The sequence below is a fragment of the Homo sapiens genome, chromosome 7 (genome assembly GCF_000001405.40).
Source record: "Homo sapiens chromosome 7, GRCh38.p14 Primary Assembly".
NCBI lineage: Eukaryota > Metazoa > Chordata > Mammalia > Primates > Hominidae > Homo > Homo sapiens.
Genome location: NC_000007.14, coordinates 390,088 through 401,449, shown reverse-complemented (window position 1 = coordinate 401,449; position 11,362 = coordinate 390,088). Strand labels below are relative to the sequence as shown.

Here is an 11,362-nt window from a genome sequence, read left to right as displayed (position 1 = left end):
ACATTGCTTTGCTCATTCTGTGGGGTTTTTTTGGCAAAGAGTCTCTGACCCACCCTCCTTCACCCCAGGCATGAGCCCTTGGCTTGGACTTGGCCAGAGTTCTCTGTATCCCTGGCAGGAGGGTCAGGCTGGGGTGAGTGGAGTGTGGACGGAAGCCTCATGCCCATGCTTTCTGCTGAGCCCAGGAGAGGGAGGATCCCCAGGGGCCCGCCCAGCCCTGCTCCCCTCGGCTTTTTTTTGTGTGTGTGCCCGGCCTTGGACTTGCTGTCCTCACTGTGCTGATGGGGGCACTTGGAGTGTGGCTGGGCTGGAGGTGGTCTTGCTGGGCCTGGGTGGGGCTGTGACAGGGGGTTCTAGGTTGACCTCACTTCCGGATCCTCCACCCCTTCTTTGCAGACGCTGGGTGCCTGCTCCAGGGGCTGATGCCACTGTGGTCAGCCCATCTGTTTCCTGCTCCTTCGAGACGGGTGTCCCACCCTGGCCCTGGGAGCAGAAGCCCCTCATCTCCCACCCCTATGGCCCCTCAGTGCCACGTTGGGTCCCACCCTGAGCTGCACACTTGAGATTTGTGCACTTCATGTAAGCTGCATGTCAAGAAACACAAAAACACAGCAGAGCATACCATGTCCATGCTGTTAAATGTCATCATTCACATGAGGCTGGAGCATATGGAATCATTGGCTCACCTGATGGCTTCTCGTGGGGGCCATGTGCTGATGGGTCTGCTGTCTTTTCTCTTCCTTTGCCCCTGGCTAAGTCCTCTGCCTCCTTCTCACAGGCCTGGACTCCCTTGAGAAGCCCCCTCCCCTAATACACCTGGGTGGGGTTTATCCTCTTCCTCCATACCCCCCTCCCCATGTCCTCACAGCCGTTGCCTGATCTGTACCCACAGCCCTGGCAGTGGGTGAGCTTATCTCACTGCTTCTATCTCCCCTGTCCTATCTGCTCGCCCTGGCCAGGGCCCCAACACCTCTGTCTGTTACCCCTGGCCAGGGTCCCAACACCCTGAGGGCCGTTCCATTACACACGTATAACAGGAGAAAAGGAGGGAAATTAAATGAGGGAGAAAACTCTCAGTCACACAGTGGGTTGATCATTTACTGAGCACCTACTATGTAGCAAGTACTGCTCTAGGTGCTGGGAAGATGGGAGGAAATAGAATAGGTGTAACCCTTGGCCCTGAGATCATTGAGTTACAGAAAACTAGAGCAACCATATTTCTTCTACACAACTAAATCTATATGTGAGAACTTGTGTCACCAAGATGCATTGACAAGAGGACCAGATTTACCCTCCTACCAGAAACAACCTAAAAACAGACAAAATATATGAAATCATGGTCTTCAAGAAACTGGGCACCAGAAAGTGAAGGGTGGTGATCCCAGAGAGAAGGGAAGCAATGAGACAAGCCCTGAAGAATCCTCATCTTCTATAGTCACTGCCTGGGGACACTTTCTGGGCTGTGAGGTAGGGAGCGGGAAATGAGATGGAGCCCAGCAGACCCCCTGTGTGGAGGAGATACAGCAGAGAGTGTGGGGAGACCACAGTGGCTGAGTTCTTAGGACACATAATTGCATGAAAGGAAACTCCATAAAATTGTGTATGGTCCTTAAATATTTAAGAGAGGATGGATTGGTGCTTGGGTGTTCAAGGCAAGGGGAAGAAAACCTACCTGAAATTATTAGAGGGAACAGTATGTAGCACACACAGAGTCAGGAATTGAGGCTGTTTTTATCTGCCAAACTGGAACATCTCAGGATTCATGGAATGGGGGAGATTATTCAGAAGGTCTAGCCTCAAGTGTGGACCATGTTACCAACAAAGCAAATTTTACAATGTGTGGCACCCAACAAAAATAACAGCCATATAAAGATGCAGGAAAGTCTGACTCTTGAAAGGAGAAAAATCAATCAATTGAAACTGACTCAGAGCTGACATGGCTGTTACGATTAGCAGACAAAGACATTAGAATTGTTATTAGCATGTTATTCTGCATGTGCAAAGTTAGATAGAGGTATAGAAAGTATAGGAAAAACAATCAAACCAAACTTTTAGAGATGAAAAAAACACAATGGGATGAAAAATTCACTGGAGTGAAAAAAGGCAGATTAGATATTATTGAAAAAAAGATTAGCAAACTTGAAGACGTATCAATAGAAACTATCCAAAATCAAACACACAGAGAAAAAAGTTTAAGCATGAACAAAGCATCAGTGAGCTTTGGGACAATACATAATACATGTGGCTTAATAGAAGTGTAAGTGGAGTTCCTGAAAGAATGGATAGATGGGGAGAAGGGGACAAAAAATATTAGAAAAAATAATGACTGAAAAGTTTCCAAATTTGATAAAAGATAGAAATCCACAGATCCAAGAACGCAATAACATATAAGTGCAAGAAACACAAAGAAAAGCACACCAAACTACATTATAAATTGCTCAAAACTAGTAATAAATAGAAAATCTTAAAAGCAGCTGGAGAGAAAGCAGTGATGCTCCATGTGCAGAGACAGCAAATGTGAGGGTGATGGCAGATCTCCCACCGAGACAGCAATGTGAGGATGACGGCAGATCTCCCACCGAGACAGCAATGTGAGGATGACGGCAGATCTCCCACCGAGACAGCAATGTGAGGGTGATGGCAGTTCTCCCACCGAGACAGCAATGTGAGGGTGATGGCAGATCTCCCACCAGGACAGCAATGTGAGGGTGACGGCAGATCTCCCACCGAGACAGCAACGGGAGGGTGACGGCAGATCTCCCACTGAGACAGCAACGGGAGGGTGATGGCAGATCTCCCACTGAGACAGCAACGGGAGGGTGACGGCAGATCTCCCACCGGGACAGCAATGCGAGGGTGACGGCAGATCTCCCACCAGGACAGTGATGTGAGGGTGATGGCAGATCTCCCACCGGAAAACAATATAAGCTAGAAGACAGGAGAATGGTGTCTTTAAACTATTGATAGAGAAGAATCTTGTAAGTCTCGAATTTTATACCCAACAATAATATCTTTTTTTTAAGGTGAACTAAAGACTATTCAGACATGCAAAAGCTGAAGGAATCCATCACCACAGCAGACTTGTATAATAAGAAAGCCTTTATCTACACACACACACACACACACACACACACACACACACAGCACCACAAATGGTAAGCACAGGGTAAATCTGTAAGATTTACTCTTTTTTTATGTTTAGAGTCATGATGTCACTCTGTTACTCAGGCTGGAGTGCAGTGGTACAATCATGGCTCACTGCAGCCTTGAACTCCTGGTTTCTAGTGATCCTCCTGGCTCAGCCTCCTGAGTTGCTGGGGTTACAGGCATGAGCCACCACACCGAGTTCTAGATTTACTCTTATTATTTAAGTCTCCTTAAAAGATAATTGGGCTTTGCAAATGGCAGTGTGTGGAGTTTGGCAACACCTCTTCCCCAGACAGACATCTGTTAGACTAATCAAAATAAACAGAGACAATCGTTTGAAGTCTCTGGAGACTGATCAAAAGGTTCATAGAAAAATTGAGAAGCATTTATTCAATAAAATCTGTGAAATTTGCCAAACATTGTGGAAGGCCTTGGCATCTGAGCCATGGGTTGCACACATCCCCCCGTGGCTCTGCTGCAAAGGAGCTATTCCAGAAGCCTTGGTGGCTGAGTGCAAAGCTTCCACCTTTCCAGCTCCCTGAAATGGAAGAGCCATTCCATGGGCGTATCCAATGGCCAGACACTATTAGTAGATTTCTCTCCTAATAGTCTCTATCAGCAACATGCTGCAGAAGAGCTATACTGAGCAGGCAGCTGGGCGGAATTATCTTTTCCCCCATCCCAGCAACTGCTCCATAGGAAAGATCTAGGCAGAGAAGATAACACAACACTCCTCCTCCCCCAGGCTCTGTGCTGCAGAAGAGCTATCCTGGTGGGTTCAGCAGCAGTGTGGCAGCTCCCGTCTTCCAGCATCCTAGTGTAGAAGAGCTACTTAGGGTGTATTTGGCAACCAGTGAACATTGGGAATCCCATCCTCCTTGGCTCTGTGCTGCTAAAAATATGTCTTGGGTGGTGGAGTCAGCCAGGTGGTACCTCAGTTACTGCTCTTGCCTTTCCTAAACGCTTGCTCCATAGTGAGATACAGGTGGGGTGATTGGTGAAGAGTGAGGTCCCCCACTTCCCAGCTCCTGCTCCATAGCACAGAGCTTCTGCTCAGGGGAGGGTCATAGCAAGCTTCAAAGCAACACCTTTTCTGGCCAAGTGATTCTACTTTGTTTGGATCAGACTGTGGGCTATGGAGCAACAATGCTCCAGGGCATTGTTGAAAACAATAGAGCAATCAGGTAGTATCCACGTGGGGTGATGCCAATAGAGGCAGAACAACCAGAAGCTTATCATGGGAAGCGGCAGAGACTCCAGCTAACACCATCGTCCCTGGCGGTCCATTAGACTGTGTGCATGCCTAAGACTGCACTCTTTGAGGAGTGATGGGAGGGACATTGGAACCTCTAGTCCGTGCCTGAATGTGGGATAAATGAATACACTCTCTGTGAGCAGTTTCCAACCACAGATAGATCCATCAGCAAAGGGTTGGGAGGCCTCATAGGCTTAAGAACAAGTGGCTGACCACTAAATTGTGTTAAATCGAGGGGTGACACTTAGGACTGGCTTAAAGATAAAAATGAGGGGACAAGTGTGAGCAGGATGCATACTGCAGGAGATATAGATGTCACAGAATTATTTCAGTCAAATCACCAAACAAGAAAACAGGTGAACAAACAAATAACAACAATGATAATAAGCCCCTGGTTGGCAGATGAGGATTCAGACTTGCTACAATATCATGTTACCTCAAGTGTTCAATTTTCAATAAATATTAAGATTTGCAAAGAAACAGAAAAGTGTGATTCATACACAGGAAAAAAAAAAACAACAACAGGCAATAGAAGTTGCTTCAAAGGGGCCAAGATGTTGAGCTGAGCAGACAAAGACTTAAAAGAAGCTATTGAAAATATGAAAGAACTAAACAAAACCAAACAAAAGAACTAAAGGAAGCCATGTTGAAAGAATAAAACAAAGGCATGATGATAATGAGCTGTAAAATAGGGACTATAAAAAAGGATGAATTATAAAAAGAATCAAATGGAAATTCTGGGGTTTAAAGTACAATAGCCTAAATAAAAAATCCGCTCGAGGGGCTCAACAGTAGATTTTGGCTAGAAGAATCACTGAACTTGAGATAGATCAATACAGATTATATAACCAGAAGAAAAGAAAGAAGAATGAAGAAAAATGAACACAGCCAAGGGGAAGCGTGGGACACCATTAAGCACACCAACATGTGCATTTGCATAATGGAAATATAGAAGGAGAGGAGAAAAATATTTGAAGAAATTAGGGCTGAAAACTTCCCAAATTTGATGGATGACAACAATCTACTTCCAAGAAGTTCAACAGCCTCCAAGTAGGATAAATGCAAACAGATCCACACCCAGGCATATCACAGCCAAAATGTTGAAATCTAGAGATTAAGAGAAAAATCCTGAAAGCAGCAAGAGAAAAATGACTCCTTGGGTGCAAAGGAACCTCAAGAAAATTAACAGCAGACTTCTCATCTGAGACAATGGAGGCCAGAGGCAGTGGGATGGCAATTCAAAGTGCTGGAAAAAACAAACAAACAAACAAACAAACAAACAAAAAAGTCCTGCTAACCAAGAATTCTATAGCCAGGGAAATGATTTTTCAAAAACAGAGGTGAAATTAAGATATTCCTAGTAAACAAACAAACAAACAGAAAACAACAAGCAAATTTTTTGCTAGCAGACCTGACTAACAGAAATAGTCAAGGAGGCTTCTCAAGTGAAAAGGAGGGGCATCTGAGAAACTCCCTTGAGTATTTCAAATTCAAATTCGAATTCACACCAAAACACAAAGAGTGCCAGTGAAAGTGACTGTAAAAGATAGAATAATTTCACATTTATTCTCCTAACTGATTTAAAAAATGATTGCAATAAAGCAATATCTCTACAAGTTTACTGTTGGACCTATAACATGTAGAAATGTAATATATTTGACAAGGACAACATGAGGAGCCTGGCAGATATGAAGCTGTATCAGAGTGAGGCAACGGTGCTCAGAGGTGACTGGAATCCACAGGATGCAACAAAGAGAACCAGACGTGGCAAATAAGGAAACTAACATGTATGTCTTAAAAACCTCTGTAAATGTATTTTCTTCTCTTTGCTTCTTTGAAAGGCATACAATCATTATTTTAATTTTTAAAAAAATTTTGCTTTTTTAAAGACCGGGTCTCACCATCACCCAGGCTGGAGTGCAGTGGTGTGATCACAGCCCACTGCAGCCTTGAACTCCCAGGCTCAAGTGATCCTCCCACCTCAGCCTCCTGAGAAGCTGGGATCACAGGCATGTGTCACTAAACCTGGCTAATTTATATATATATATATATATTTTTTTTTTTTTTTGTAGAGATGAGGTCTTGCTATGTTGCCCAGGTTGGCATGAAATCTTTTAAAACAGTAATTATATAACATGTTGGGCATAGGTGTAACAATAAGAGAACAAACGGGGGATAGAATGGACTTATATAGTTATAGTAGTAAAATTTCTAGATCTTGCCTGAAATAAATGACTATAAATCTGAAGTAAAAGTGCTATTAAGATATAAATTATTAGCCCTAGAGAAACTACTACAAAAGTGAAAATGACTGTAAAAGATAGTATAAATTCATGTTTCTTCTCCTAACTGATTTAAAAAACAATTGCAATAAAGCAATATGTATACAATTTTACTGTTGGAACTGTAACATATAGAAATACAATATATTTGACATATATAAAAATATATAGATAGAGAAAAGTAATCAAAGGAATTAAAATGACATTGTCAAAAATTTCCACTAAATACAAAAGGAAAAAGTAAAGGAGGAACAGAGGAGCAAATATTAATGAGACATAGAAAACCTAAAACCATAAAAACCCTAGAAGAAAACCTAGGCATTACCATTCAGGACATAGGCATGGGCAAGGACTTCATGTCCAAAACACCAAAAGCAATGGCAACAAAAGACAAAATTGACAAATGGGATCTAATTAAACTAAAGAGCTCCTGCACAGCAAAAGAAACTACCATCAGAGTGAACAGGCAACCTACAAAATGGGAGAAAATTTTCGCAACCTACTCATCTGACAAAGGGCTAATATCCAGAATCTACAATGAACTTAAACAAATTTACAAGAAAAAAACAACCCCATCAAAAAGTGGGCGAAGGACATGAACAGACACTTCTCAAAAGAAGATATTTATGCAGCCAAAAAACACATGAAAAAATGCTCATCATCACTGGCCATCAGAGAAATGCAAATCAAAACCACTATGAGATACCATCTCACACCAGTTAGAATGGCAATCATTAAAAAGTCAGGAAACAACAGGTGCTGGAGAGGATGTGGAGAAATAGGAACACTTTTACACTGTTGGTGGGACTGTAAACTAGTTCAACCATTGTGGAAGTCAGTGTGGCGATTCCTCAGGGATCTAGAACTAGAAATACCATTTGACCCAGCCATCCCATTACTGGGTATGTACCCAAAAGACTATAAATCATGCTGCTATAAAGACACATGCACACGTATGTTTATTGCGGCATTATTCACAATAGCAAAGACTTGGAACCAACCCAAATGTCCAACAATGATAGACTGGATTAAGAAAATGTGGCACATATATACCATGGAATACTATGCAGCCATAAAAAATGATGAGTTCATGTCCTTTGTAGGGACATGGATGAAATTGGAAATCATCATTCTCAGTAAACTATCGCAAGAACAAAAAACCAAACACCGCATATTCTCACTCATAGGTGGGAATTGAACAATGAGATCACATGGACACAGGAAGGGGAATATCACACTCTGGGGACTGTTGTGGGGTGGGGGGAGGGGGGAGGGATAGCATTGGGAGATATACCTAATGCTAGATGACGAGTTAGTGGGTGCAGTGCACCAGCATGGCACATGTATACATATGTATCTAACCTGCACAATGTGCACATGTACCCTAAAACTTAAAGTATAATAAATAAATTTAAAAAAAAGAAAGAAAACAGAAAGTAAAATGGCAGGCGTAAATCCAACCATATCAGTAGTAACGCTAAACGTGAACGGGTTAAACAATCCAATCAAAAGCAGAGATCGTCTGAGCAGATTAAAAGGAAAAAGATCCAGCTCTATGCTGTCCACAGGAGACACACTTTAGGTCCAAAGGTGCAAATACATTGAAAGTAAAAAAGGATGGAAAAAGATGTACCATGCCAAGAGTGGCTGTGAGAAAGTCATGGTGCTTTTATTGACATCAAACAACATGGACTTCAAGACAAAAGCTGTGACTAGAAACAAAACCTTGCCTCAAAACAAACTAAAAACTATGATGTCATATGATATGATTCTATTGTACAGAATTCTAGGAAATGCAAACTAGCCTGGGGCGGTAGATATATTCGTTATTTTGCTGTGATGGTTTCGAAGGAATTCATTTATATGTCAAATGTATCAATTTTACCCTAAAAATGCAGTTTATTTTATGATAATTATACCACTATAAAGTTTTGTTTTTGTTTTTTTGTTTTGTTTTGTTTTCCTTTTGAGATAGGTTCTGGCTCTGTGGCCCAGGGCGGAATCGTAGCTCACTGCAACCTCCACCTCCTGGGCTCAAGCGATCCACCCACCTCAGCCACCTCAGTAGCTGGGACCACAGGCACGAGCCACGACGGCCCCTAATTTTTGCGTTTTTTGCAGAGTTAGGGTCTCACTTTGTTGCCCAGGCTGGTCTTGAACTCTAGACCTCAGCCTCCCAAAGTGCTGGGATTACCGTACCCACCCTAAAGTTGTTTTTAAGAATGTAATAAATCCTTAAAACTCACCACTTCCTAATCATTTTGCCACGTTTTGCTATCATGTGTGCGTGGGCTTGCTGACTTTCTCTGTGGGGGACCAGACAGTAAAGATTTTGTGCTTTTGGGCCATCAATCTCCTTCACAACCTCTCAACTCCGCGCCTGTGGTGAGACAGCAGCCCCAGACGATACTCCAACCAGTGGGCGTCGCGGCGTTCGGGCAGAACCTTGTGTTGTGACGTAGGCCTGCGTCTTGTCTGGCCTTGGGCCCCGGTTTGCACACCGCTGATGTGTGTTCTGTTGTTGCAGGGCGAAAGCGTCCACGGCGGCTGCTGCACCCTCCTTCCCATATCTGAACACTGCAGCTGGTGGACGTCCACACTGCGAGCTCAGGTCGGCTCGTGATTAGGCTTTGGCCGATCCTGGCTGGCTGGAAGCGTCTGTTCTCGCTGTGGACTCTGTCATGGGGCCTGATCCCTTATGGATTCCCACCCACAGGACTTACCCAACCTCTTCCAACACTGGTTAGGCAGAGCTCTGGGGGCCCAGGTGCCAAGCCCAGGGGGCCTGAGGGGTGCAGAGAGGCCCTGGGAAGGGAGCCCCAGGCACACAGGTGGCGAGGCCAGGGTCCCTCCCTGTCATCATGCAGCTCGTCCCTCCGGGGGGCTCAGTCCCCCCGCAGGTGCACGGCCGCCTCCCTGCCTGGCTCCGGGAAAGCCCCTCTCAGATCTCTGTGAGGAGGGCGGCCCAGAAGTGAGTCAGAGCCCTGGTCTCAGGCTCAGGGCTGCCAGCTCAGGTGGGATGCCCGGGCCCCTGCCAGGGGCAGCGTGCAGGTGCCCCCGGGCCCTGGAGACTCAGCCCCCATCCTTGTCACACCCTCCATCTGGGGCCCTGCAGGGATGCTCATCAGACAAACACACATTCCACAGCGGCGAGCGCAGGCCTGGCCTCCTGCGGCAGCACCCGGGCCTGTCCTTACTTGCGGCGGCATCGGGATCCTAGCGGCTGGCGGCCGCTCCCTGCGTCTGCTGGGCCGCCCTGCCTGGCTGCTTCTGCACACACAGCCCCGTGCCTGGTGGCTTCAGCATCCAGAGCTGGCCTGGGTGAGCCCGGGAGTGGAGCCCACACACCCCACATCTGGAGCCAGCCTCGATGAGCCAGGAGGTGGAGCGGAGCCCTCAGGGACAGGAACAGAGCCTGCCCCCAGGAGCCCGTACCCTCCCCTAGGGCTGAGGGCTGCTGGGGGACGGTCAGCTCTGGTCAGCTGTTCCCCAGCCACTTCCCTCAGGGCACCTCAGGACCCCACTCTGGGCAGGGACACCAGCTGCACGACACTCACCTCCTTTCACGACTCCCCTGGGCTGACACTCACTCAGGCCTCCCCATCAGGCCCCGTGCTGACCGCCCGCCCCTACCCTTCAGGCCCTGAGCTGCTGGTGGTTCCGGGGTCACCGTCCTTCGTGCAGCCCCCTCCCGCTCCCCAAGGAAGGCCTCCGAATAGGCCCAGGCTGCGTGCAGCCCCCCAGCCCTCTCAGGAGGGGGTCTGCATGTCTCAGGAGCTCCTGGAGGCCCCAGCTCTTACCCCCTCACAGGACGGGTGTGGACAGCTGTGGGTCTCACTGGTGAGTCCCAACTCAACCCCGGCCCCAGCCACTCGGTGAAAGTCACTTGGCCAGGACCGCCAGCCCCTGCAGCCCCCAGGCCAGCGTCTGGGTGGCCTCCACACCCTCTCCTTGGCCAGCCTGGACCCAGGCTCTGAGCTTGGCTTTGCCACAAGATTCTGTCTTTAACTCCTGACAGCCAATTCCTCTCTTTGGAGAGGAAAAAATTCCGCCCTAAAGTCTGGTTCAGAAAGGCCTCATGCAGTTAGACAAATCCCCAGGGAAACAAGTGTTTTAGCTTAGGCCCTGAGACACGGGTCCCGCAGCGGGGAGAGAGGAGGAGAGCCGGGGAGGGGGCCTTCCCAGAGTCCGGCAGAGGCGCCTTCTCAGAGGGCCGCTGCCTGCCGGAAGGAGAGGACCCCCTTGCTGGGCCGGGCCCACCCTCTGGCCTCTCTCCCAACCTCCTGCACTCGGCTGCAGCCTCACCCAGTGGACCCTGCCTTGAGGCCTTTGCACATGTGGAGACTGTTGCCTCCCGGCCAGGCCCTCCCTGGCCACCTGGCCCCACCCTGCTGTGATTTCATCCTCCCATCTGCCCGCTATTCCCCTTCCTCCCACCCTCCTGCCCTCACGCCTTCCGCCTTGTGTCTCCCTTCCTGGTCTGTCTCTCCCTGAGAACACAGCCCTGCGTGTGCCCGGAGGAAAGATCTCAGCAGGTGTTTGTTGAACGAATGAATGAGCCCCAGGCTCTCTTCTACCTTTGGTCGCTGACCCTCAAATGGACTGCAGGTTGGGTGGCACCAGCACTCAGCACATCTGGGGGCAGGTGGGGCCGTGGGGCCGGAGCCTGGTCCCCTGT

General features: G+C 47.3%; 1 annotated feature.

Annotated features, from left to right (window-relative positions):
* Window positions 9,524-10,065: an enhancer, noted in NCBI's record as "H3K27ac-H3K4me1 hESC enhancer chr7:431351-431892 (GRCh37/hg19 assembly coordinates)". NCBI's record gives its function as "activates a minimal SCP1, AML or CMV promoter by ChIP-STARR-seq in naive H9 embryonic stem cells {active_cell/tissue: H9 hESC(naive)}" and the evidence as "EXISTENCE:reporter gene assay evidence [ECO:0000049][PMID:30033119]".